The 26,460-nt window shown below is 39.1% G+C and overlaps 1 protein-coding gene and 2 pseudogenes across 1 annotated transcript, besides 10 other annotated features; 2 read left to right on the plus strand and 1 right to left on the minus strand.

The window, feature by feature from the left end:
• On the plus strand, positions 5,181–5,285 carry RNU6-1334P (RNA, U6 small nuclear 1334, pseudogene; annotated as a pseudogene).
• SRY (sex determining region Y) lies at positions 7,287–8,114 on the minus strand. Its single transcript, NM_003140.3, has one exon. The coding sequence runs from the start codon at positions 8,033–8,035 to the stop codon at positions 7,421–7,423; it is 615 nt and encodes a 204-aa protein (NP_003131.1). The 5' UTR covers positions 8,036–8,114; the 3' UTR covers positions 7,287–7,420.
• Positions 8,036–13,036: a promoter, noted in NCBI's record as "-5 kb promoter". NCBI's record gives its function as "drives expression in the genital ridge, migrating truncal neural crest cells, and epiblast" and the evidence as "EXISTENCE:transgenic organism evidence [ECO:0001131][PMID:16411204, PMID:22539273]".
• Positions 8,100–8,131: a protein binding site, noted in NCBI's record as "CP2-2 site". NCBI's record gives its function as "positive regulation of transcription" and the evidence as "EXISTENCE:protein binding evidence [ECO:0000024][PMID:19902333]".
• Positions 8,132–8,445: a promoter, noted in NCBI's record as "HindIII/HpaI fragment for -300 promoter". NCBI's record gives the evidence for it as "EXISTENCE:reporter gene assay evidence [ECO:0000049][PMID:8434602]".
• Positions 8,132–10,106: a promoter, noted in NCBI's record as "PstI/HpaI fragment for -1975 promoter". NCBI's record gives the evidence for it as "EXISTENCE:reporter gene assay evidence [ECO:0000049][PMID:8434602]".
• Positions 8,160–8,174: a protein binding site, noted in NCBI's record as "FP1 DNase I footprint; Sp1A site". NCBI's record gives the evidence for it as "EXISTENCE:nuclease protection assay evidence [ECO:0001106][PMID:9582429]".
• Positions 8,160–8,192: a protein binding site, noted in NCBI's record as "WT1 site SRY2". NCBI's record gives its function as "required for promoter activity" and the evidence as "EXISTENCE:protein binding evidence [ECO:0000024][PMID:9815658]".
• Positions 8,177–8,200: a protein binding site, noted in NCBI's record as "FP2 DNase I footprint; Sp1B site". NCBI's record gives its function as "required for promoter activity" and the evidence as "EXISTENCE:protein binding evidence [ECO:0000024][PMID:9582429]".
• Positions 8,334–8,362: a protein binding site, noted in NCBI's record as "NHR1 (nuclear hormone receptor site 1); -327 to -298 SF1 site". NCBI's record gives its function as "positive regulation of transcription; antagonized by cyclic AMP" and the evidence as "EXISTENCE:protein binding evidence [ECO:0000024][PMID:11207191]".
• Positions 9,019–9,051: a protein binding site, noted in NCBI's record as "WT1 site SRY1". NCBI's record gives the evidence for it as "EXISTENCE:protein binding evidence [ECO:0000024][PMID:9815658]".
• Positions 10,238–10,871, plus strand: RNASEH2CP1 (ribonuclease H2 subunit C pseudogene 1; annotated as a pseudogene).
• Positions 11,662–13,036: a transcriptional cis regulatory region, noted in NCBI's record as "-3.3 kb to -5 kb region". NCBI's record gives its function as "required for expression in the genital ridge" and the evidence as "EXISTENCE:transgenic organism evidence [ECO:0001131][PMID:16411204]".

Consider the following 26,460-nt stretch of genomic DNA (forward strand, 5'->3'; position numbering starts at 1 on the left):
CCAAAATCCACAGCTGCTGAAGTCTCTGATATAAAACGTGCAGTACTTGCATATAATGCAAGTATATGTTCCTGTATATTTTTATTTATTTATTTGGAGACAGAATCTCACTCTGTTGCCCAGGCTGGAGTGCAGTGGCGTGATCTTGGCTCACTGTAACCTCCACCTCCCGGGTTCAAGAGATTCTCCTGACTCAACCTCCCAAGTAGCTGGGATTACAGGTATGCGCCACCACCCCCAGCTAATTTTTGTATTTTTGGTAGAGACGGGTTTTAACCATGTTGTCCAGGCTGGTTTCGAACTCCTGACCTCACATAATCTGCCCACCTTGGCCTCCCAAAGTGCTGGGATTACAGGGATGAGCCACCGTGTCCAGCCTCTGGTATACTTTAAATTATCTCTAGGTTACTCATAACTCCTGATACGCTGTAAATGCTATGCAAATAGTTGTTATACTATATTATTTTTTATTTGTATTACTTTTTATTGGATTGCTATATTTTATTTTTTGAAATATTTTCAATACAAGACTGGTTGGATCTATAGATGCAGAAATTCTGGTTATAGAGCACAAACTGTGTATAGATAGCTCCTACCAAAACAGACGGATGGTGAAAAAAAGAAAAGAAAAGAAAAGAAAAAGAAAATGGAGGAGAGAGACTATGAGGCGACTAAAAGAAGAGGGATATGATCATTCCATTCGCTGACAAGAAAAATTCAAAGAAGAGGGAATTATGCAATTGACCAGCTGATGTGTGTTAGAAATGCTCAGGGTCACACATATTCATTGAAAGCCAATTTAAGCCACTATTTAAATTTAAACCGATTTAAACAATTGGGCTTTTTTTTTTTTTTCTAAAAAAAAAAAAAAGTCAATTAGGCCAGGCGAGGTGGCTCACACCTGTCATCCCGGCACTTTGGGAGGCCGAGGTGGGTGGATCACAAGGTCAGGAGTTTGAGACCAGCCTGGCCAACATGGTGAAACCCTGTTTCTACTAAAAATACAAAAGTTAGCTGGGCATGGTGGTGTGTGCCTGAGGCTGTGAGACTGAGGCAGGAGAATCACTTGAACCCAGGAGGCGGAGGTTGCAGGGAGCGGAGATCATGCCACTGCACTCCAGCTTGGGCGACAGACCAAGACTCTGTCTCAAAAAAAAAAAAGAAGAAGTATATTGGTTCCGTCTGGAAAGGTGGAGCACTTGAAGCAAAGGCAGGAAGACTGGAAGCAGGGAGAGGGTTTTCAGGTCACAAACAGGTGAGAGACAAAACAGTTGCCTTCTTTTGAGTTTCTGATTAGCCTTTCCAAAGGAGGCGATCAGATACGAATCTGCCTCAGGGAGCAGAGGGGGGACTTTGAATAGAATGGGAGGCAGGTTGGCCCTAAGCAGTTCCCAGCTGGACTTTTCCCTTTAGCTTAGTGACTTGGGGGTCCCGAGATTTATGTTCCCTTCACAGTGTATGAGTGAGAGCACTTGGAAACTGAGAGTGGAAGTGTCGCAGGCCAGGTCTCACTAACACAGGCCCCCACAACACCTGTTTCAGTATTGACTGAGTGGTTAAATATTAAAAGCCAGTGCTGTTATACAAAGGCTGGAATGTAACAAAAGCCCACCGAGAGTTTTTCCCAGGACTTTCCCGGGCCTTAAAGCATGACAAAATAATGAATGAATTCTTAACAGGACCCATTTAGGATTAAACAAGTTTTACTGGGGGTCTGCAGAAACTCCCCAGGCCTCCACAAACAAGTTTATTGGGGCTTTGAAGGAACTCTGCAAACCTCCTGGATTTAGCAGGAGACAACATGAGGGTAATCACCCCGGCACCTGGACCCATTAGATTAAGTCAATTTACTGAGGCTCCTGAGGAAGATCCTCAGGACTCAGACCTTAGTTATAGATTAAAAGAAGTTAAGGCCGGGCGCGGTGGCTCACGCCTGTAATCCCAGCACTTTGGGAGGCCAAGATGGGCGGATCACGAGGTCAGGAGATCGAGACCATCTTGGCTAACACCGCGAAACCCCGTCTCTACTAAAAATACAAAAAAATCAGCCGGGCGTAGTGGCGGGCGCCTATAGTGCCAGCTACGCCGGAGGCTGAGGCAGGAGAGTGGCGTGAACCCGGGAGGCGGCGCTTGCAGTGAGCTGAGATTGCGCCACTGCACTCCAGCCTGGGCGACAGAGCGAGACTCCGCCTCAAAAAAAAAAAAAAAAAAAAAAAAGTTAATCATTTATGTCGTTACATAAATGGGCACTTACACATAGACGTATAGCTCAGAAGGTATATAAGCTCTATAAAACTTTATCATTTTGAGTGGGTCTGGTAATATTATCTACATGCCTTCTCCCTGTAACCACTTGTAGAAATAAAAACTCTCTTCCTTCTCAGTTCATCTGCATCTCATTATTGGGCCACAAAAAAATAGCAGCCTGACCCTCAATTTGCTCAGGAAAGACAAGGGGACTTGGGAACACTCCTTACACTTCAAAGAGAAGGCTCAAGGCCATTAAGAAAGACCTGTTGGGGTGCCATCCTTCCATCTGGCTTAGTTAGTTCTTAAAAAGATTTACATATACCTCAAAAAACAGAGGGGAAAATACTAGTTTTCTAAAGGTAGTACTCTAATGAAAAGTAGGAGGAAGGATTACTTTCTTACCTGACAACAAGGAAAACTCAAATTACATAGATTTTAGACTTACAAAAATTTTCTGGACAGATATGAAGAACATTATTAAACTAACAAACAGCAATCCAGAACTTTTTTTGTTGTTGTTTTTGCTAAACGTATTTGTAGTTCTGTTAATTTCCTTACTGTAATCTACCAACTTTATGTGATCTCTGTCTAAAAAGCAGAACTTTCTGGTCATTTCTAAAGAGCATAGAGATTTTAAGGAACATCAGCAATATTCAAATTTAAGAAAACTGATTATAACTTAGAAATTCTGAGGAAGAAGAGTAATGAGGGGTAACTTGTTCTAGCAGAAAATCAAGTATATTTTTATAACCACTTTAATTATTTTAACTACATACCTTCATTCTGTGGTTAAAATTTAAGACACTAACAGTTCCAAATTTTGGTGAGCATGTATAGCAACGGAAAGCTCAGACATTGCTGTGGCAGTGTGAAATAGCACAAAAACCCTGGAAAATTCTTGGAAAGGTACACACAAAATTAACTGAGCTGAAAATTTCACTCCTAGATGTTGGCCCAGGTACATTAAAAACAGATGTCCACTTAGAGACTTGAGCTCAACTGTTGATAGCAGCTTTATTAATAAAAGCCTCAAGCTCAAAATAGCCCAGTGTTCACCACCAACAGTGTACATAAACTGTGGTAAATTCATGCAAATTTCAACCTGAATGAAAGAAGCCAGATGCCCTTCAGAATACAGCTCCGTTGATATAAAGCCTTGAACTCAGCCGGGCGTGGTGGCTCACGCCTGTCATCCCAGCACTTTGAGAGGTCGAGGTGGGCAGATCACGAGGTCAGGAGATCGAGACCATCCTGGCTAACACGGTGAAACCCTGGCTGTACTAAAAATACAAAAAATTATCCAGGCGTGGTGGCGGGCGCCTGTAGTCCCAGCTACTAGGGAGGCTGAGGCAGGAGAATGGCGTGAACCGGGAGGCGGAGCTTGTGGTGAGCCTAGATTGGGCCACTGTACTCCATCCTGAGTGACAGAGCAAGACTCTGTCTCAAAAAAAAAAAAAAAAGATCTCTCAATTGCATGATAGAAATCATGCAATTGACAGAGGAATTGCAAAAGGGCACAGGAAATTTTAAGGGTTGAAGGAATGATGTAAATAGCTTGTAACCTAGTTGGGGTGATAGTTACTCAGGCATATGCATTTGCCAAAGTTCATGCATCTATAAATAAAAGATCTGTGCACAATATCTCATGAAGATTTTTACTCTTGACATTATTACATAGTCCAATATGAAATAAAATATTAATTAAATTTCTTGAAATACTAGAACTCTGATAACTACCTTTTGTTTCTACACCTTGTAGAAACAAATCTTTGTGGAACAGATTTGGAACAAATATGGAAAATTAATGTATTTCACATCAGTAAAATCGTGACATTGGGAAAAACATTACCCACTTCAATGCCTAATGAAATAATGTCTAATCAATCATGAATATCTACATTACTCTTCACTAAGATATTTTTTAGATGGAGCAATTACTTTCAGGTTAATAATAGCAAATATTTAGTTAATTCTTCACTAATGCTGATGTCTGTTCTAAGTATTTCTTTTTTTCTTTTCTTTTCTTTTTTTTTTTTTTTTTTTGTTGAGATGGAGTCTTGCTCTGTCGCCCAGGCTGGAGTGCAGTGGCGCCATCTTGGCTCACTGCAAGCTCCATCTACTGGATTCAAGCCCTCTCCTGCCTCAGCCTCCCAAGTAGCTGGGACTACAGGCGCCCGCCACCAAGCCTGGCTAATTTTTTGTATTTTTAGTAGAGACGGGGTTTCACCATGTTAGCTAGGATGATCTCAATCTCCTGACCTCGTGATCCACCCACCTTGGCCTCCCAAAGTGCTGGGATTACAGGCGTGAGCCACTGCTCCCAGCCTGTTCTAAGTATTTCTTATATACACTCACTTATTTAATGCTTGTGTACCTTAATTCATGTAGCCTTCACATCTCTTCATGGGTTGGTTTTATTAGTAAATAGCATTTCAACTAACAAAATTATTACAGAATTGAAAAAACTGAGACTCAGACAGCGAAGTAAATTGTTCAAGCTCAAGCCTGTAAGTGGCACTCAAGTGAGCCAAAGCTGAAGGGTTTACCTTCCAGAGCCTGTGTTCTTTATTCAGTACCAAGCTCCCTCTTAATGTATTTTAAGTGTTGGCATTTTAAAATATAGCAAACATCCATTGGCAGCCAAAGCACACTTGATACTTATAGTTAGAATTTGTTTGTTTATTGATGTTTGTTTAAACATCACAAAAATACAAAAATGCTTCATTTCAGTAATTCCTAAGTAAACCATACATAAAGTATCAATTCCTCTCCTGGGAGTGTGCTTCACAGAAATTCTTATAAATGTTCTCCATTGTACATGTATAAGAATGTATAAAAAAGCACTGTTTGTAATAATTGAAACCAGTAAGTGTCCATTCATTTGTCCAACAAAAATAGAATGAAATACGCACAACAATTTTTTCTTAAAAATTCTAGTTTGGGCAGCATATACACTAAAATTAGAATGGTATGGAGAAGAATAACACTGTCCCTGGGCCAGGAGGGTATTCAAATGTGAAGTCTTTCATATTTTTGGGAGTAGAATTGTGGCTACCCTCTAGTAGGGTCAGGTGAAGAGATGAGTATTGTTATTCAAAAATTATAATATTTCATCTAGATAGAAGCAATTAGTTCAGATCTATTGTAAAGCATGTTGAATATAGGTAATAAGAATGTATTGTATGCTTGAAAATTGCTAAGAGAATACAATTTAAATGTTCCCAGTGCAAAAGGAAAGGGAAGTATATGAGGTAGTAGATACATTAGCTTGATTTAGTCTTTCCAAAATGTATACATGCATGATGTCATAATTTTTAATAATCTGAAAACCACCAAAATGTATTAAGCAAAAGAAGCTCCACATAATATTTTGTATTTATATTTATTCACATTGTTAAGGAAAAATGGTATTCAGTGATACTTGTTCAAACTTGATAAGGAAGACTATTCACGACCAACAGCACAGCAATGAGGTCTTGCACTGGGGGAGAGATTGGCCTTAGCTCCACATACACAGCTGGGTAGGTGGGGATTTATAGCCAAGGAGCAGGGAGTAGGGTCAATGGATGGACAATCACTAAGAGAAGACATCATAGATAAGGAGGATTCTTGCTGAAGACAGGCTAGGCTGATCAGACATCACCTAGAGGGTGGTGGAGGATGAGAAACCTGATCAGATATTGAGGGTGATCGATCAAGTGTTGAGTGTGATCAGATATGCGGTGGGGGTACAGTCTGGCTAACCTGGCTTAGGAGAGTTCTTTGCCAAAACTGAGTTTGGCAAGGAAGTGCACAGGCGAGTCTAGGAGAAGGTTCAGAAACCTGACTAAAGTTTGGTCAAACAGAGAATCTGTGTCAGAGGTTCAAGAAAAGGAAAATTAATGTATGGTAATGAAGGTCAGAATGGGTGTTATTTTTGGGAGAGTGAAAAGAGTGGTTTTAAATATTACAAAGTAGTTTTGAGTCAGTGTTTAAAAGGTAATGGGCAATATACAGTTCTCATTTGGCATAAAGCTCAGATTAAGTAATATTGTCTCTGGAATAAAGCTTTTTTTAAACCCTGAACTTTGAGAAACATGACATCCATCTCTAATATACACTCTTTTAGTGTTTGAGTTTTATTATTTAAGGTAATGTCTCTGAAAAGTTTTGAAATATTGGAAAGCTGACTTTGATACATACCATTAATTTTGACTTTTGATTTATTTTTATTGTAGAAAAATTTATTTGTAATTTATACTTTAAACTGTGGTTTACAGTTATTTGTAAACTTCTAGTTTCCTGCTTTAGCTTATGTGCAAATTTTATGAAGTCTTGGCATTACATTTTTATTTAAATCCCATCAAATTAAACCAGTTGGGTCACCAGCCCCCGCCCTTCCATCTCCATAATCTGGGTAGTCGGCGTTCTCAACATTCCTGTTGAGAATGAAAATTCTGTATTTTTCATTCCACAGGCTTAAAAGTTAATAGGCCATGGAAACAAGTAGATTGCCATTTTAAAAGATAGTTTTCAGAAGAAAGGCAAAATGATAAGTTTCATAGAGATACAAAAATGACAAGGAATTAAATATTTTGTTTTACCAGAGGCATTTTATAACTAGTTGAAAGGAAATGTCAACCGTTTGGATTTATATGGAGTAAAGGAACTGAATTGCAAGTGGAGGTAAAACTGGTTTTTTCCACAGCGTGAAGGGGAGAGAAAGAAACAAGTTTGATCCTGCTTACATATCCATTCCTTAGTTACCTGCAATTTATAGACACGTACAAAGTAGCTGAAAGACCAATGAATACACGGTCTAGAGAGGACTGCTTAACACGCTGCATATAGAAGTGTGATTTTTTTTGGTACAATTTTCAAGTGTGTTTCTCATTAGAGCATTTAAAGTAAGCCACAGTGTCCGTTTGTATCAAGTTAGTACTCTGACGGCCACAAACATAGGCAGGCTCACTTCTGGATGTCTTATTTCTTTGCATGTTAATCGTGTTGACACAACTTGTCTTGAAATTAAGTTTAAAATGAAATACCAGTAAAACTGAAATGAATAAGGCCTTTATTAGCCAGAGAAAAGAAAACAATATTGAAACTAAACATAAGAAAGTGAGGGCTGTAAGTTATCGTAAAAAGGAGCATCTAGGTAGGTCTTTGTAGCCAATGTTACCCGATTGTCCTACAGCTTTGTCCAGTGGCTGTAGCGGTCCCGTTGCTGCGGTGAGCTGGCTGCGTTGATGGGCGGTAAGTGGCCTAGCTGGTGCTCCATTCTTGAGTGTGTGGCTTTCGTACAGTCATCCCTGTACAACCTGTTGTCCAGTTGCACTTCGCTGCAGAGTACCGAAGCGGGATCTGCGGGAAGCAAACTGCAATTCTTCGGCAGCATCTTCGCCTTCCGACGAGGTCGATACTTATAATTCGGGTATTTCTCTCTGTGCATGGCCTGTAATTTCTGTGCCTCCTGGAAGAATGGCCATTTTTCGGCTTCAGTAAGCATTTTCCACTGGTATCCCAGCTGCTTGCTGATCTCTGAGTTTCGCATTCTGGGATTCTCTAGAGCCATCTTGCGCCTCTGATCGCGAGACCACACGATGAATGCGTTCATGGGTCGCTTCACTCTATCCTGGACGTTGCCTTTACTGTTTTCTCCCGTTTCACACTGATACTTAGAGTTACAGCTTTCAGTGCAAAGGAAGGAAGAGCTTCTCCGGAGAGCGGGAATATTCTCTTGCACAGCTGGACTGTAATCATCGCTGTTGAATACGCTTAACATAGCAGAAGCATATGATTGCATTGTCAAAAACAAGGAGAGTGCGACAAAATTGAAAGGTGCCAGAGTTCGAAACTTATTTTACTATCCAAAACTCACTTCTACCAGATTCTTTGTTACGTTAACTTTTGTAATGAAACTTGCATTTCTCCGCCCTCAACACCCCCTCAACCCCGCCCAACCAGCCTACCCCCTAGTACCCTGACAATGTATTCATTCTCAAGCAAAACATGGTAATTCAGTAACGTTGACTACTTGCCCTGCTGATCTGCCTCCCTGACTGCTCTACTGCTGTCCTGAAAAATGCGAATTTGACTTAATCGCCAATTTTTTCATTGACCTTTTATGTCACAAAACGAGAGGACACAAAAAGCTATATGAATTGTTTATCATTATCAATATATGTGTATGTTATCTTTAAAAAAACAAAGCTTAATGAGAACCTAATTGTCTTAACCACACACATACATACATAACTGCATATTGAATTTATAGTAATTATTATCGCTTTTTCTTCACTTCTATTTAAAAATTGAAAATTCTATACACATTTTTCACAGGCATTAAGTATCAGAATATTAGCATATACTTACAAGTATTTTATGCCCAACTTCTAGGATGGCTAACATTTGACTTTTAGAAAAGTAATTGTTTCGTTTAGAGAAAAAAAAATATGACCTAAGAACTCAAAACAGTTTCAGTGAAGTGTTAAGCTACACTAAAAAGGGGACACAATTCTTTTCTTTGCAGATTGTATAGTGGGATATTTTGAAGTCATTCTCTTCACTGTCACACAATTAGCAATTTAAAAAACAATCTTTTACAAGTCTAAATTAAATTTCCATTCACAACAAATAGAGCCATCAATTTATCATATTTCACCTTTTAGTTCAACCTCCTTCAAAATTTAAAGGTCACAGTTTACCAGACTAAACAAGTGAATAACTCTCCTCAATAAATCTTAAAGTCTGAAGAGAAATGACAAGATTTCTTTGCTGAAATAAAATGGGAGGAAAGTCCCCCCACTCACCAATGTTTTAATGCCATATTTGCAAAACAGGAGTAACAACTACAGGTTGCATAGTACACAGAACCTATTAATAAAAATAAACTCTCAGCAAAACTGAATGATGCCACAATTCCTAAGACAACAAAATAAAAATCCCGTAAAATATGAAAAGAGTTCATAGAACCAAATGTGGTTGGTTTGTCCAGTAAATGTTATAATGAATTAATATCAGAAACTTTAAAAAATTATATTCCATGAAAAGAAAAATATGAAAACTGTAATTTGTATCCTAGTTATCTACTAAAGTTTAGTATCTAAGATACAAAATTTAGTATTCATTATACAAAGTGGAAATATAGTTGGCTCAAGTTAAAACATGTATCTGGATAGCAAATAAAATGGTTAAATTGCAGTCATACACAGAAACAGATTTTCTACAACAGGAAATCCCTTACAAGATGAGAAAAAACATACCATTTCAAAACCTGACATGAAAATAGCAAAAAATGACACAAGGCACCACATAGGTGAACCTTGAAAATGTTACACTGTGTGAAAAAGTCAGATACAAGAGGCCAGATACTGAATGATCCCATGTATATGAAATATCCAGGAAAGGCAAATGAATAGAGACTAAAACCAGATTAATGGTTGCTAAGGACTGGATGAAAGAGGTTGTGGGGAGTTACTGCTGGTGGATGCACGGTTTCTTTTGAGGATTGATAAAATATGCTCTGGAACTAGAGAGAGGTGATGGCTGCACAACATGGTGAACCAAAGAGTCAGAGAAACTGAAGTCCAAATAAGGAGTTTGTTGGCAGTTTTAGAACTGTAATTAGAGAAACAGATTCCAGAAGCATCTGACATTGTGTCGTGACCGGCTGTTTTGAGAGACAGTTTTTAAAGGAAATAAGAGAAAGTTGGTACTCATTAGGTTACTTACAACCTATTATCTTAATTGGTAATGAAGGGTTATCTTAACAGTTCATGAGTTTCTACGCAAAAGTCCTTGAATCAGTGGTTTGGGTAAAAAGTCAGTTTTCACTATGAAGTCTTTTAATAAGTGGCAGCAATTTTTGTCTGCAGAATCTGCAAGTACATTTTGCAGTCAGGCAGTTGCAAGATGGGTTTCAAAAACAAAATGTTGTTGCTATGGTTAGGTCTTGTTGCCTTCGTTCCCCGGTACTACTGAATCGTCCAGTTTAAGAGGGATAAAGTGGCGTCGCACAGGAGCGAGGATGGAGAGCGGCGACTAGGCGGCTATGGAGAGGTACAGCGTCCAGTTGCGCCCAGCCACACTGCAGGACGCCGCCCCCGCCACACTACACCTGATACCCTGCGGCCCACCACGGTGTGGCGCTTCATCACGCCTGCCATCCGCCAGGGCCCCGAGGGACTCTTAAGTGTAGTTTCGGGGCCGCAGTCTACGGGGCGACGAGGTGGCAGTGCCGTCCGGCCTCGTGGGATACGTGATGGTGACTGAACAGGAGGAGGTGTCGATGGGGAAGCCAGACCCCTGGCGGGGTTCCGGGAGTGACAACCAAGAAGAGGAACCTCTGGAGCGGGACTTTGACCGCTTCCTCGGAACCACTACCAGCTTCAGCCGCTTCACCCTGTAGGGCATGGGGCTTCACCCTGTGGGGCACCCTGTGGGGCTTCCTTGGCCCGGAAGCCAAACTGCGTGGGGCCTTAACTTGGCCCAGCCTCGCGGCAACGATTCACGCGCAGGTGCCCAAGGACACAGAACCAGAGCTTGAAATTCAAAGCCGCGAACCCTTTACAGCAGTAAACCAGCTCCTTACTTTGTAGCCACTGGTTCCATCACCCCAGTAAAGGAGTTCTTCACAGCACACATTCACAAAAGATAAAGTGGTGAATTTTATATTCTTATATACATATGTCCAACCATCTATATGTTTTTAAGAAGGCAAAAAAGACCTCCCAGATGCATATATTACAGGACGGGGTGTGTGAGGAGACTCACTTGGGGGTGGCAGTCAACAAAATTTAAATAAAGACACGAGATTTTATTATTTTTCTGTCTACAGCTCCTAGGATAGTGTGTGACATGTAGTAGGTTCTCAGTATACTTCTCTGGTACTTAAATTAATGAAATGTGTAAACATGCCTCTGGGTTCAGAAAAACAAACTCAACCACTTAAAAAAAAAAAAAGGAAAAAAGTGTTGGTTCTCCTGTAAAGTAATAAACCTACATGCAAAAATAAGGATGCAGGGGGAGGCCGAGAGCATTAAATTTGCCTCTATAATATCATATCAACACATTTTAATCTCTCAACCAGGGCTAATAATTCACTCACTGTCTCCAGGGGACTACATTAACAGTTCTTCCAATATTGGGCCTTTATATCATCAGCTAACCATATGCTTCCCTGAGCGCCTGAGTGATCCCAGTTTCTGGAACACTATTCCTTTCTCTCAAATTCAGTAAATAAAAAGTTAAAGCGCTATATTGTTTTATATGAGTACGACCTTTAAGATTCACTGATGACTATTTCTCAACAGTTGTTAAATATTTTTACATCAGTCAGGCCCACAAGCAATGTTAACTGGTAGGAAGTTAGCTGGTCCTGTCAATGTTAAATCCAAACGGGCTTAACCAACAGCAAAAGTTGCCAAACTAAGGGATTTTTTTTTGTTTTTTTAATCTTAAGGTATGGTAAGAAAAATGTTCAAAGACATTAGATTCAAATAATTTCACACAGATCCTGGTTCATTTTTATATCAGAATAAAAATGAAATGAATAATGAAATAAAAATGAAAACTGAAGAATAGTAACTTAGATTGGTCCAATGCAATTAATTGCATTTGAGGTACATTAAGGTATTTTATGCTCATTAGTTAAATACCCTTTGTAGCCCTAATTTAATTGCTATGGTGTATGCAAACACAGTTTACCACTGCATAAAGAATAAAACCCACAACATTTTATATGAATTTATTTATTTTTTCTCCTCACAAGATGTACTTTGGTATTTCTTCAAATTCAGGGATGAATGCAGCAAAAATGTTGTGAATATTACTCCACTCATTCTCTCTAATTTTATCTCAAGATATTCCCATCAAAGTAGAAATATATGTGGTCATAAACCATCCCCCATAAATTGTATACTAGACAGAGTTGACTATTCTAAGTCAACTTATGTGTTCATTTATCCTGCAGCTTGGCTATAGGCTGTTTTTTGAAGTCTAATGGTTGGCAGGTCACCAAAGACACAAACAACAAAAGAAAAGGTAAATAAAATGCACAAGAGCAAAATTTAAAACTTTTGTGAAAGGACACTTACAAATAAAAAGGTGTAATAGAGTAACACTAAACTTAGGATTTTTAGACTTGTGATTATTTTTGGGACTTTAGAGTCAAATGTCCTTTCAAGATGTTGGGTTTGTTTTGTTTGCATGTTTTTTATTTTAACCATGCTAAATTCATGGGCCATATTTTCAACATCTAATTCTCAAAAAGTTAGAATAGTCTTCTGATTTGGTAGGTAGAAGTTAATGCTCACTTTAATTGCTAGGTTCTACTGTTTCAAGACTTAATCAGATAAATCACCTAGCAACTGATGCATTTAAACATGATCAATTTTACTGGCATCTTTTTTTCCCAGGGATAATCTAATTATTTGCCAGTGGGAGGATGAAGTAGGGTGCAGTGGGAAATAGAATGATCTCCTACCTGAGCCGAAGAACCTTACAAATGCATATCTACTACATGTAAATTAAACTATAAGTAAACAAAATAGTTTACAACTTTAAAATAATGCTGCCTGTTTTTTTCTCTAACTTCACCTGAATTATTTTTCTTTTACTTTATTATTTTGATTTTTTCAAAGTATAGGAAATTGCCTGTAAAAACAAGGTTTCATACTTGGGAAGAAATTTCTCATAGAGTGAAGCATTTTTTTTTTTTTTCAAATCAGTTGTAACTAACCGTCTTAAAATCACATTGTGGCTATCCATGCCTGAAATATGTAAACAGAAAACAGATGACATCCACAATTTTCCTTTCTTCCTTAAAACAAAGAGGTAACTTCACTCTTTCATTTACCTTCTGATGCACAAGTATGAGCTTCTCTTTTTAGTTCTTCTAATCAGCTTAGATACTACATGTTATAGCTTGTTTCTCTCCATAAAATGAAGGTCACTTTTGATCTTTTCCAGGGTCTTCCTTCAGTTCCTTTTTGTCCAAGGCTAACTACACTCCTCTTTGTCTAGTGAGCCAGCAGCTGTTTGACCAAGAACCATTTTAGGAAACAGTTTTTAAAGATACCTCATGGAAGCATTCTGTTGTACCCTTCCGTACATTATTTTTTCTCAGTCTGTTGCATTAAGATTAGAGACTGCTTTCTTTTTATTAATGTTTTGAAATATTTTGTTTAGTGTCCAAAGGCTTGGTCAAATCATGAATAGTTCTATTTTTCTTCTGAAAAATATTGTTCCTTTAGTGATTTATAGTTAAGAGATATTATCCTTTAGCTGTCATACATTTCAAAAATACTTTCCTGATTTTGGACTTAAAATTGCATTTATCCTTTTTATCTTAACCTTCAAAACAATAATATAACAATGATTATTATAATTTGTGCCCGTTTTTGCCTTCTTTGAATGACGATGGCTTTAGTATCTTACTGCTAAAAAATGTTGCTTGTTTGTAAAATAGCCTTTATGCAGAAACCTGCAGCAAGTATCCAATAACCACAACAGGAAAAATCTGAGGAATTCCGGGCTTTTCAAATTTTTGTATTACCTAGCAATTATATGTTATTTGAAATTTGATTAGAAAAAGGCTAAAACAATTGTTTGAGTCTGGTAATTAAAAAGTGGTAAGTCTTTGTCTGATCTATGATGGTTAGTAGTTTGTATTTTGTGGTAAAAACAATACTTACTTTCCATTTTCAAATAATTTTAATTGTTATAAGTTATTATAAGCGTCTTGTAATTAGTTTTTACTGCCTCTCTCATAGCTTTGGTTATATCTAATTTCTCATTTATAATATCACTTACATTTGCTTTATTATATTTGTATTTAATCTATACCAGCAAGAAGGCACTTAATATTGCAAGCTTTTAAAAGAAATAGGGCTTCTTCTTTTGCTAATCCTCTTTGTAATTCCTTTTGGCTTTTTGGGAGAAGTTATTTCTACTCAAACCTTGTTCAGGTCACAAAGAAGCTACAGATGAAGAACACGAAAAAATTGTTGGTTAAAATAAAACTATAACTAGGCTTATTTACGGTGAGTAATTTCTTTTCATGCTCCATTTAAATGTTTTTACCCTAAAGTAATGATGTAGGAGAAGTCTAAAGCAATGGTATTAATATACAAGTCCCAGTGAAAATGTGATTCATGAAACTCTTTGTTATTTTTGGCTGCATGTACATTGTTACGATTGTGATGTGAGATGAACATTTTGCATCTTTCAAAATCTTACATTAGTAGGGAGTTGCCCCCAACCTAGGAGAGAGAAAAAGTAATATATTTTTCTCACCTGTCAACAAAGCCAATAGGTGACACACTATGATGAAAGACAGATAAACGAGAATAACACTCATATTTATTTAGTAAATGTTTTACATGACATGAGAACCTTCAAAAATGAAGACCCAAAGAAACAGAAAGCTATGTGTTTTTGTTTGTTTGTATGTTTTTTTGAGGCAGAGTTTCGCTCTTTTTGCCCAGGCTGGAGTGCAATGGTGTGATCTCGGCTCACTGCCGAGTGGTCTTGGGTGTCCACTAGACAGGTAGATATTTGCATCGCAATCTCCCATATCCATGGCATATATCTTGGGGAAGAAAGAATACATGCTCAGGAAGGAATGTGTAGTTAGCTGCAGGCATGACAGCCTATAATTTCTACAACAACAGGGGTTATTTGGGAGGAAACTTAACAATTAATAGATATTTCTACATAAAGAGTAATACAAAAACTAGACATTTTGGAGGTTATTTCTAGACTCAATGTTAGCCAGATTCAGATTTTAAACTAAAGTAATTCTTGTCCCCACACTCTACCTCTAATTCAGCTGTTCCAATGTCATGTGCTGACCTCTTCTGAGATGGTCCCTGAGACTTTAGAAGGAGGCATCCAGTGCCGGACATTGTATTAATAAATTTATGTTCTAGTTTCAAGAAAAGGCCACAATGGCAATGTAAACAATAACAAGAATTATTAACTGCTTTTGCCATTGTAAGCCCCCAGAACTAAACCAAAGAGAAAGCCAGTGGGATAAAGGGAGGGTAGGGTCAAACATTGCAGTTATCTGGCTTTTCATGTCTTGCAGGGCTACCATTATGTTGTCAGAATTATCTAGAATATATAAACAGCATTCAGTTATAATAACCTGTTGCACTGGTTCTCTATTGTGCAGCAATTAAGATATCCAGTGCTGTGCAATTTCACCAAACAGTGTATACATGAGGTATATTTCAGAGTTCTTTCAAGAAATACTTTGGAAACTTTCATTGAGAGCCTGCTGAATATTCTTAGTGAGAGCTTCTACATGCCATTAATAGGTAATGTCTTTAATGCCCAAAGATGGTGCTAAATGATCATTCCAATGAAAAATAGCTCTTGTCTAGCTATTAATCACATGTAGGAGATTAGCAGGTCTGCCAACTAAATTTGTCCATCATCCTTGGACCCATGGAGAACCTAAAGTGCAGCATTCTAGCCAACCTTGTGGTACCCAAGGACAGAGATTAGAGCCACTCATGTAATCATTCACTACCATTTGGAGCACACCAGTTTAAGCTGGATCATCAGGACCGGTCTGTAGCAAGTGAGTGCATGGCCTGCAGGATTATAATGTATTGACGCTACTCCCAGAGTAAGGGTGGGTTATGAGTCATGGGTGTGGTTCCCTTATTATTAACATAGGGGCACCAACTGAGTTAAGTGCCCTGCAGTTGGTGTCACCCGAATTTGAAGAAAACTCTCTTTATGGCAAGACTTACGAGATTTCATAACAAAAACCATTACTTTTGAATTTTAGAATATAGGGTAGGATAGGCTAGCTATTACGCTTTTTTTATTATTGTTTATTTATTTATTTATTTATTTATTTTTTTTGAGACAAAGTCTCGCTCTGTTGCCAGGCTGGGGTGCAGCGGCGCAATCTCAGCTTACTGCAACCTCTGCCTCATGAGTTCAAATGATTCTTCTGCCTCAGCCTCCCGAGTAACTGGGATTACAGGCACATGTCACCACGCCCAGCTAATTTTTTGTATTTTTAGTAGAGACCCAGTTTCACCATGTTGGCCAGGATGGTCTCAATCTCTTCACCCTGTGATCCGCTCGCCTTGACCTCTCGAAGGGCTGGGATTACAGGTGTGACCCACAGCACCCAGCCTATTATACATTCTTGTGTGGCATTTACTGAAATGAGTCTTATCAGTAGGTCAATTAATCACATCATCCCCTGTCATACCAGCTAATGTGCTGTTCTAATGTTGAAGAGCTTTAATGAATGCTTTTTAAGTGTTGCCAGTCGTTTTCCTGCATAGACGATGCCCACCAAGGCAGACGAGAAGTGTTGAGAAGGGTAACAAAATGCAAACCCAGCAGGCCTCTTCTGTAAGTTGTCAGCATAATGTTGAGCCCTCTGTAGGAAGAGGTTCATTTTTCCTTTCATAGGTCAGAGAAGAAGAACAGAAGATTATGGGCCGAAATAGCAGTGTTTTGTAGGTACTTGGCAGAGCAGTTCTTTCCCATCAAACAAAATGACAGTGGAACTTTTATCTCAGTCATTATTAGAATATTGGCAGCCTGAGGATTATGGGCTGGGAGTACATACCAAGCATTTTGCCTGAGGGGTGAAGTTATCTATAAGCAACATCAAACAACCGTATTAAACAGCTGACCAAAGGGGCTGTATTCTGGTGTCCTGGTATGTGGAACGTTTTGGCCCAAACTCCAACAGGATCAATAGAGGGCACTGTAGCTGCCCAGGGGATTCCTTACTTTCTGACAAGAAATACCCTATCTAATCTGTGGGAAGTTGCCAGTCCAGTCCATATTCAATTGTCCTATCTCTTGGCTGAAGATCTTGGGGAATGCTGAATAACATTTGCCATTGATCTTTTACCAGCTCTGGTAGAAATATGTCTCCTCGGATCTTTTTCACAACTATGGTTGATGAACTTTTTTCTGGGGTGGTCCCAAGTCATGGGTATGGTGCCAGCTCTGTGTTTGTTTTGACTGAATTAAGATTTCTCAGCTGGGCACCGTGGCTCACACATGTAATCCCAGCACTTTGAGAGGCCGAGGCTAGCAGATCACCTGAAGTCAGGAGGTCAAGACCAGCCTGGCCAACAGGGTGAAACCCGGTCTCTAAAAATACACAAATTAGCCGGGTGTGGTGGCATGCGCCTGTAATTCCAGCCACTGAGGGATTACACAGAAGCGGGAGAATTGCTTGAACCTGGGCAGAGGTTGCACTAAGCCAAGATCATGCCATTACACTCTAGCCTGGGAGACAGAGCAAGACTCCATCTCAAAAAAAAAAAAAAAAAAAGATTTCTCATGACCTGAGGCAAAACCATCAGCTACCCAAGCAAGGTATCGGATTGCATCACTGTTTGCAGTTGTAACTTCAAAATGGCATTATTTTCTTTTTCTCGCTTTTTTTTTTTTCTAGTGAGACAGGGTCTCACTCTGTCACACAGGCTGGAGTGCAGGCTCACCTCAACCTTGACCTTCTGGGCTCAGGCAATCCTCTCATCTCAGCTTCCCAAGCAGCTGGGTTCACAGGCTCTGCCTACGATGCCTGGCTAGTTTTTGTATTTTCTGTAGAGACAGCATTGCAGTATGTTACCCAGACTAATCTTAAATTCCTGAGCTTAAGCAATCCGCCTGGCCTCCCAAAGTGCTGGGAATACAGATATGAGCCACCACGCCCGACCTTCTAAAGTAAAAAGAGTTACAGTGAGCTAAGATTAATTTGTTGTTGATTAACAATTACATTTAATGACTGGGCCCAGTGGCTAATGCCTGTAATCCCAGCACTTTAGGAGACCAAGGCAGGCAGATAACTTGAGGTCAGGAGTTGAAGACCAGCCTGGCCAACATGGTGAAACCCCGTCTCTACTAAAAGCACAAAAATTAGCTGGGCATGTTGGCTCACGCCTGTAATCCCAGCTACTTGGGAGACTGAGGCAGGAGAATCACTTGAACTTGGGAGGCAGAGGTTACAGTTAGACAAGATGGCATCACTGCAATCCAGCCTGGGTGACAGAGCGAGACTCTGTCTCAAAATAAAAAAATAAACATAAATTTAGTGTAGCCTAAGTGTTTGTGAAGCATACAGTATTACACAGTAGGGTCCTGGGCCTTCACCTTCACTCACTACTCACTCACTGGCTCACCCAGAGCAACGTCCAGCCCGCAAGTGCTAATCATGGCAAGTATCCTACCTGTATAGCTGTATTACTTTTTTTCATGTTTTCTACTATATTTTTTACTGTATATTTTCCATGTTTACACACAAATACTCACCATTGGGTTACAATTGCCAACTGGATTTCTTGCAGTAACTTGCTCTACAGGTTTGTAGCCTAGGAGTGCTAGGCTCTACCATACAGCCTAGGTGTGTAATAGGCTACACCCCCTAGGTTTCTGTAAATACACTTTATCATGTGCTTACAATGAGGAAATCACCTAATGATGCATTTCTCAGTAGGTATCCCCATTATTGAGTGATTGATGCAGGACTATAGCTTAAATGTGAATTCATTTGAAGTAGTTTGCATGATTAGCAGTTTGATATCTGGATTGTCTTTTATTCTTGTTAACACACACACAAATACACACACACACACACACACACACACTCCTGTTAGATAAAAACCTTGTCTCTGGCTGAGTGCGGTGGCTCATGCCTGTAATCCCAGCACTTTGGGGGGCCAAGGCAGGGAGATCACAAGGGCAGAAGTTCGAGACCAGCCTGGCCAACATGGTGAAACCCCGTCTCTACTAAAAATACAAAAATTAGCTGGGCGTGTGTGCACACCTGTAATCCCAGCTATTTGGGAGGCTGAGGCAGAATTGCTTCAACCTGGGAGGCAGAGGTTACAGTGAACCAAAATTGCACCACTGCATTCCAGTCTGGGTAACAGAGCAAGACTCCATCTCAAAAACACAAAACAAAACAAAACAAAAAACTGTCTCTGTCTATATTTTGTCTGGGCTCACCTTTTCTTATTTGAGATGCTTATAAATTCATTGTGTGATTTTGTTTTGCTCTGTTGAAAATGTGAAGATGAATCTCTGAATAAAAACGTTTTATTTGGGAAGTAAGACTTGCAATCTGGTGCCTACATGCAGACAGTGTGGTCATCAGTATGTCTGATGAACAAACACAAGCTTTAAGATTTTATAAAAGAAAAAGAGAAATGGTGTATTGTTCCTTGAGAAAGTTCATTGGCACTATTCAGGTTTTGGAGAGCTGGCAAGCAAGCTGATGGTGGTGCATAAAACTAGTCTTAGATTTTTAGCAAGTTGTTTCAGTAGCCAGGCTAGCTGAGAGTTACATTCTTGGAACAATCTTTTGTTGCTGTTGTTGTTTTGAGAGAGAGTCTAGCTCTGTCCCCAGGCTGGAGTGCAGTGGTGCAATTTTGGCTCACTGCAACCTCTGCCTCCCAGGTTCAAGCAATTCTGCCTCAGCCTCTCAAGTAGCTGGGATTACACGTGTGTGCATCCATGCCCAGCTAATTTTTGCATTTTTAGTAGAGACAGGGTTTCCCCATGTTGGCCAGGCTGGTCTCAAACTCCTAGCCTCAAGTGATCCGCCAGCCTTGGCTTCCCAAAGTGCTGGGATTACAGGCATGAGCCACCACAGCCAGTCTGGAACAATGTTATGTAACCTGTTTCCTCACCCATTATGGCCCCACAAACCCCAGCCTTTCAACTCTGTTTCAGTTGGCTATCACGAGTGACCCAACTTGTATAATCAACTTTTACGTTTTTCCATTTTGATAAAGACCTTTCTCTGAAAGCATTGCTGATCAACCATTTTGAAGTTAGGCTTAATTGTCCATTAATATCTGGATGGACCTGTCCTGGTTGCTTTCAGTCATGTTGAGGGGAACATTATGGAGGTCACATTTGAGGCCAGAAGGGAACATTTTCTCAAGCAAATCTGTCTGGAGTCCAGCATCAAGTTCTGTCTTATTAGTCGATAAGCATCAGCAACTGTCTCAAAGTGTTGCATTAACTTTATCTTTTTCTTTTGTTGAAATGGAGTTTCACTCTTGTTGCCCAGGCTGGAGTGTAATGGCACAATCTTGGCTCACTGAAACCTGCACCTCCCAGGTTCAAGTGATTCTCCTGCTTCACCCTCCCAAGTAGTTGGGATTACAGGCATGATCCACTATGCCCAGCTAATTTTTTGTATTTAGTAAAAATGGTTTCACCATGTTTGTCAAGCTGGTCTTGAATTCACTCCTGACCTCAGGTGATCCACCCTCCTCAGCCTCCCAAAGTGCTGGGATTGCAGGCGTGAGCCACTGCACCCGAGAACTTTATCTTTGTAGGAGAGTTGGCTTTACGAGGATTAGACAGGCAATAAAAACAAAGTTTAAAAAAATATATAAAAATAATTAATAGTAATATTATAAATTTAGTTTGTTTAACGGTTTTAAACTAAGATCCTAAGACTAAGAGCAAAAAGCCAGACAAATAAAAAGCCTGTGGGGTAAATTGGATGAAATCTGTGTTAGTTGTTTAGTAGATCTTATGACTAGATTGACTTAAAGCAAAGAACACCAGCTTTATAAAAAGGGACCCACTAGTATGATTTGAACAAAAAGTTGTGATACTGGTATTTTCAGTTGGCCACTAGGTGGACTAAAAGGATTCCTTATGCCAGGTTTTGTTGAATTACCGATAGCAGTTACTGACTGGAAAATTTTATCCTGCCAAATGAAGAAGAAGGTAGCATTAGCGGGGTGATAGTCTCATTCTGATTTAAAGTCTTGTTCTGATGTCTTAGGAAAAGTTCTGTACAGTGTGGGAAAATGTCAACTTTTTGTCTTGTCTTGAATGTCTCTGGTGATGGCATTGGGTGGTTTGGTAAACTCTTGGTGCAGCTAATGCAAATCTATTTATTTTGTGATTTGCTGCCTCATGTATCATGCAGAAGACTTGTTTTTAAAAACATGTGTCTGGGCCAGGCACAGTGGTTCATGCCTGTAATCCCAGCACTTTGGGAGGCCAAGGCGGGCAGATCACCTGAGGTCCAGAGTTCGAGACCAGCCTGACCAACATGGAGAAACCCCACCTCTACTAAAAATACAAAATTACCTGGGCGCGGTGGCACATCCCTGTAATGCCAGTTACTTGGGAGTCTGAGGCAGGAGAATCTCTTGAACCTGGGAGGCCGAGGTTGTGGTGAGCCAAGATTGCACCATTGCACACCAGATTGGGCAAGAAGAGCAAAACTCCATATCAAAAAAATATATATATACATATATACATATATACGTATATATGTATATATATGTATATAATCAGCTTATAAGACTTCAGGAACACCGCAATTTCTGTTTCCGTGTTTTATGGAACCAATGTGGATTGGAGGGCTCTAGACAATATACACAGCTACAATCTAGTAACAGCTGTATCATAGCTTTTTTTCTTCTTTTTACATTTTCATATAGGAATATCAGATTAAAAACTTATTGAGGCTAGAAACCCAAACCAAGGCAGACTTTAGGTTTTGCTTACAGCTTTAGGGATCATGAACCTGACAAGAAGTGACAGTTTTTATTTACGTATTGCAAGACCCTCAAAGTCACACATTTTATGTATACTTTTATATGGAATTGTACTCAAATGTATAACCCATGTTTTCAGTCGTATTCTGCTACAAAGAGAGAGCACATTTTTATTAGACTTAGGCAAATAACCATATTTCCATAGGACTATTCATAAATAGTTTGAAATTTTCAGGAATCAAAATAGAAAAGGGAAAAGAAAATATTTTTATCTTTGTTAATAAAAGTGTACTTTACCAAATTGTAAAAAGTTATGGATAGGTTAAGATAGAAAATTTCTTTAAGTCTGAGTAAAAACATTTGAGTAAAGGATCATTGATGTCTCAAATAACAGTCATAAAAACATTGTCAGTTATTCTTTTTTTAAAAAATTACTTTTTACTTTAAGTTCTGGGATACATGTGCAGAATGTGCAGGTTTGTTACATAGGTATATGTGTGCCATGGTGGTTTGCTGCATCCATCAACCCATCATCTAGGTTTTAAGCCCCACATGCATTAGCTATTTATCCTGATGTTCTCCCTCCCCTTCCCCTCTCCCCACCACAGACCCCAGTGTGTGTGGTTCCCCTCCATGTATCCATGTGTTCTCATTATTCAGCTCCCATTTATGAGTGAGAACTTGCAGTGTTTGTTTTTCTGTTCCTGTGTTAATTTGCTGATGATGATGGCTTCCAGCTTCATCCATGACCCTGTGAAGGACAAAATCTCATTCCCTTTTGTGGCTGCATAGTATTCCATGGTGTATATGTGCTACATTTTCTTTATCAAGTCTATCATTATGGGCATTTGGGTTGGTTCCGTCTCTTTGCCCTTGTGAATACTGCTGTGAAAAACATATGTGTACATGTACATTTCTATTAGAATAATTTATATTCCTTTGGGCATATACCTAGTAATGGGATTGCTGCGTCAAATGGTATTTCCGAATCTAGATCCTTGAAGAGTCTCCCCACTGTCTTCCATAATGGTTGAACTAATTTATATTCCCACCAACAATGTAAAAGCATTCCTATTTCTTCACAGCCTCACCAGCGTCTGTTGTTTCTTGACTTTTTAAAAATTGCCATTCTGACTAGTGTCAGATGTTATCTCTTTGTGGTTTTGATTTGCATTTCCCTAATGATCAGTAATGTTGAGCTTTTCTTAATGTTTGTTGGCTGCATAAATGCCTTTTTTGAAAAGTGTCTGTTCACATCCTTTGCCCACTTTTTGATGAGGTTGTTTGACTTTTTCTTGTAAATATGTTTAAATTCCATGTAAATTCTGGATATTAGACCTTTGTCAGATGAGTAGATTACAAAAATTTTCTCCCATTCTGTAGGTTGCCTGTTCAAACTGATAATAGTTTCTTTTGCTGTGCAGAAGCTCCTTAGTTTAATTTTATACCATTTGTCAATTTTTGCTTTTGTTGCAATTGCTTTTGGTGATTTCATCTTAAAATCTTTGCCCATGCCTATGTCCTGAATGGTACTGCCTAAGTTTTCTTCTGGAGTTTCTATGGTCTGGGCTTTGACATTTAAGTATTTAATCCCCATCTTGAGTTAATTTTTGTATAAGGTGTAAGGAAGGGTTCCAGTTTTAGTTTCCTGCATTTGGCTGGCCAGTTTTTCCCAGTATCATTTATTAAATAGGGAATTGTTTCCCCATTGCTTGTTTTTATCAGGTTTGCTGAAGATCACATGGTTGTACATGTGTGGTGCTATTTCTGAGGTCTCTGTTCTGTTCCATTGGTCTATATGACTGTTTTGGTACCAATACCATGCTCTTTTGGTTACTGTAGCCTTGTAGTATTGCTTGAAGTCAGGTAGCGTGATGCCTCCAGCTTTGTTCTTTTTGCTTAGGATTATCTTGGCTATATGGGCTCTTTTTTGGTTCCATATGAATTTTAAAATAGTTGTTTCTAATTCTGTGAAGAATGTCAGTGATGGGAATAGCATTGAATCTGTAAATTATTTTGGGCAATATGGCCATTTTCACCATATTGATTCTTCCTATCCATGAGGATGGAAACAAACACGATCCATTTGTTTGTGTCCTCTCTTACCTCCTTGAGCTTTGGTTTGTAGTTCTCCTTGAAGAGGTCCTTCACATCTTTTGTTAGCTGTGTTCCTAGGTATTTTATTTTCTTTGTAGCAATTGTGATTGGGAGTTCATTCTTGATTTGACTCTCTGCTTGTCCATTGTTGGTGTATAGAAATCCTTGTGATTTTTGCACATTGACTTTGTATCCTGAGACTTTGCTGAAGTTGCTTATCAGCTTAAGGAGTTCTTAGGCTGAGATGATGGGGTTTTCTAAATATAGGATCATGTCATCTGCAAACAGGGACAATTTCACTTCCTCTCTTCCTGTTCGAATACCTTTATTTCTTTCACTTGCCTGAGTGCCCTGGCCAGAACCACCAATTCGATATTGAACAGGAATGATGAGAGACGACATACTTGTCTTGTCCTAGTTTTCAAAGGGAATGCTTCCAGCTTTTGTCCATTCAGTATGATATTGGCTGTGGGTTTGTCATAGCTTTTATTATTTTGAGATATGTTCCACCAATATCTAGTTGATTGACAGTTTTTAACATGAAGGTATGTTGAATTTTATCGAAGGCTTTTTCTGCATCTATTGAGATAATCATGTGGTTTTTGTCAATGGTTGTTTATGGGATGGAATATATTTATTGACTTGCATATGTTGAAACAGGCTTGCATCCCAGGGATGACACCGACTTGATCATGGGATAAGTGTTTGATGTGCTGGTGGATTCTGTTTGCTAGCATTTTATTGAGGATTTTCACATTGAAGTTCATCAGGGATATTGGCCAGAAGTTTTGTTTTGTGTGTGTGTGTCTGCCAGATTTTGGTATCAGAGTAATGCTGGCCTCATAAAATGAGTTAGGGAGGAGTTCGTTCTTCTCAATTGTTTGGAATAATTTCTGAAGGAATGGTACCATCTCCTCTTTGTACCTCTCGTAGAATTCAGCTGTGAATCCATCTATCTGGTCCTGTGCTTTTTTTGTTTGGTAGGCTATTTCTTGCTGCCTCAATTTCAGAACTTGTTATTGGTCTATCCACAAATTTTACTTCTTCCTGGTTTAGACTTGGGAGGGTGCATGTGTCCAAACATTTATCCATTTCTTCTAGATTTTCTAGGGTTTTTTTGCCTAGAGACACTTATTGTATTCTCTGGTGGTAGTTTATATTTCTGTGGGGTCAGTGGTGATATCCCTTTTATTATTCTTTATTGTGTCTATTTGATTCTTCTCTCTTTTCTTTTTTATTAATCTACCTAGCAGTCTATCTTATTGGGTGTGTGTGTGTGATTTTTTTTTTTTTTCCAAAAAACCAGTTCCTGAATTCATTGATTTTTTGAAGGGTTTTTTGTGTCACTGTCCCCTTCAGTTTCACTCTGATCTTAGTTATTTCTTATCTTCTGCTAGCTTATGGATTTGTTTGCTCTTGTTTCTCTAGTTCTTCTAATTGTGATGTTAGGGTGTTCATTTGAGATCTTTCTAGCTTTCTGATGTGGGCATTTAGTGCTGTAAGTTTCCCTTTTAACTCTGCTTTAGCTGCATCTCAGAGATTCTGGTATGTTGTCTTTTTGTTCTCATTGGTTTCAAAGAGCTTCTTAATTTCTGCCTTAATTTTTTCATTATTTACCCTGGAGTTATTTAGAAGCAAGTTGTTCAACTTCCATGTAGTTGTGCAGTTTTGAGTGAGCTTCTTAATCTTGAGTTCTAATTTGATTGCATTGTGGTCTGAAACTCTTTGTTAAGGTCTCAGTTCTTTTCCATTTGCTGAGGAGTGTTTTACTTCCAATTATGTGGTCGATTTTAGAGTAAGTGCCACATGGCACTGAGAAGAATGTATATTCTGTTGATTTGGGGTGGAGCGTTCTGTAGATATCTGCTAGGTCCAATTGGTACAGAGCTGAGTTCAAGTCCTGAATATCTTTGTTAATTTTCTGTCTCGTTGATCTGTCTAATATTGACAATGGGGCGTTAAAGTCTGGTATTGCTGTGTGGGAATTGAACTCTCTTGGTTGGTCTCTAATAACTTGTTTTATAAATCTGGGTGCTCCTGTAATGGCTGCATATACACTTATGGTAGTTAGCTCTTCTTGTTGAATTGATCCCTTTACCTTTATGTAATGCCCTTCTTTGTCTTTTTTTCCCACTATTTGTGTTGGTCATACTTTTTTTTTTAATTATACTTTAAGTTCTAGGGTATGTGTCCACAACATGCAGGTTTATTACATAGGTATACGTGTGCCATGTTGGTTTGCTGCACCCATTAACTTGTCATTTACATTAGGTATTTCTCCTAATGCTTTCCCTCCCCCAGCCCCCACCCTATGACAGGCCCCAGTGTGTGATGTTCCCTGCCCTGTGTTCGAGTATTCTCATTGTTCAATTCTCACCTATGAGTGAGAACATGCGGTGTTTGGTTTTCTGTCTGTGTGATAGTTTGTTCAGAATGATGGTTTCCAGCTTCATCCATGTCCCTGCAAAGGACATGAACTCATCCATTTTTATGGCTGCATAGTATTCCACGGTGTATGTGTGCCACATTTTCTTAATCCAGTCTATCATTGATGGGCATTTGGGTTGGTTCCAAGTCTTTGCTATTGTGAATAGTGCCGCAATAAACATACGTG

This window comes from Homo sapiens, chromosome Y (assembly GCF_000001405.40).
Source record: "Homo sapiens chromosome Y, GRCh38.p14 Primary Assembly".
Lineage (NCBI taxonomy): Eukaryota > Metazoa > Chordata > Mammalia > Primates > Hominidae > Homo > Homo sapiens.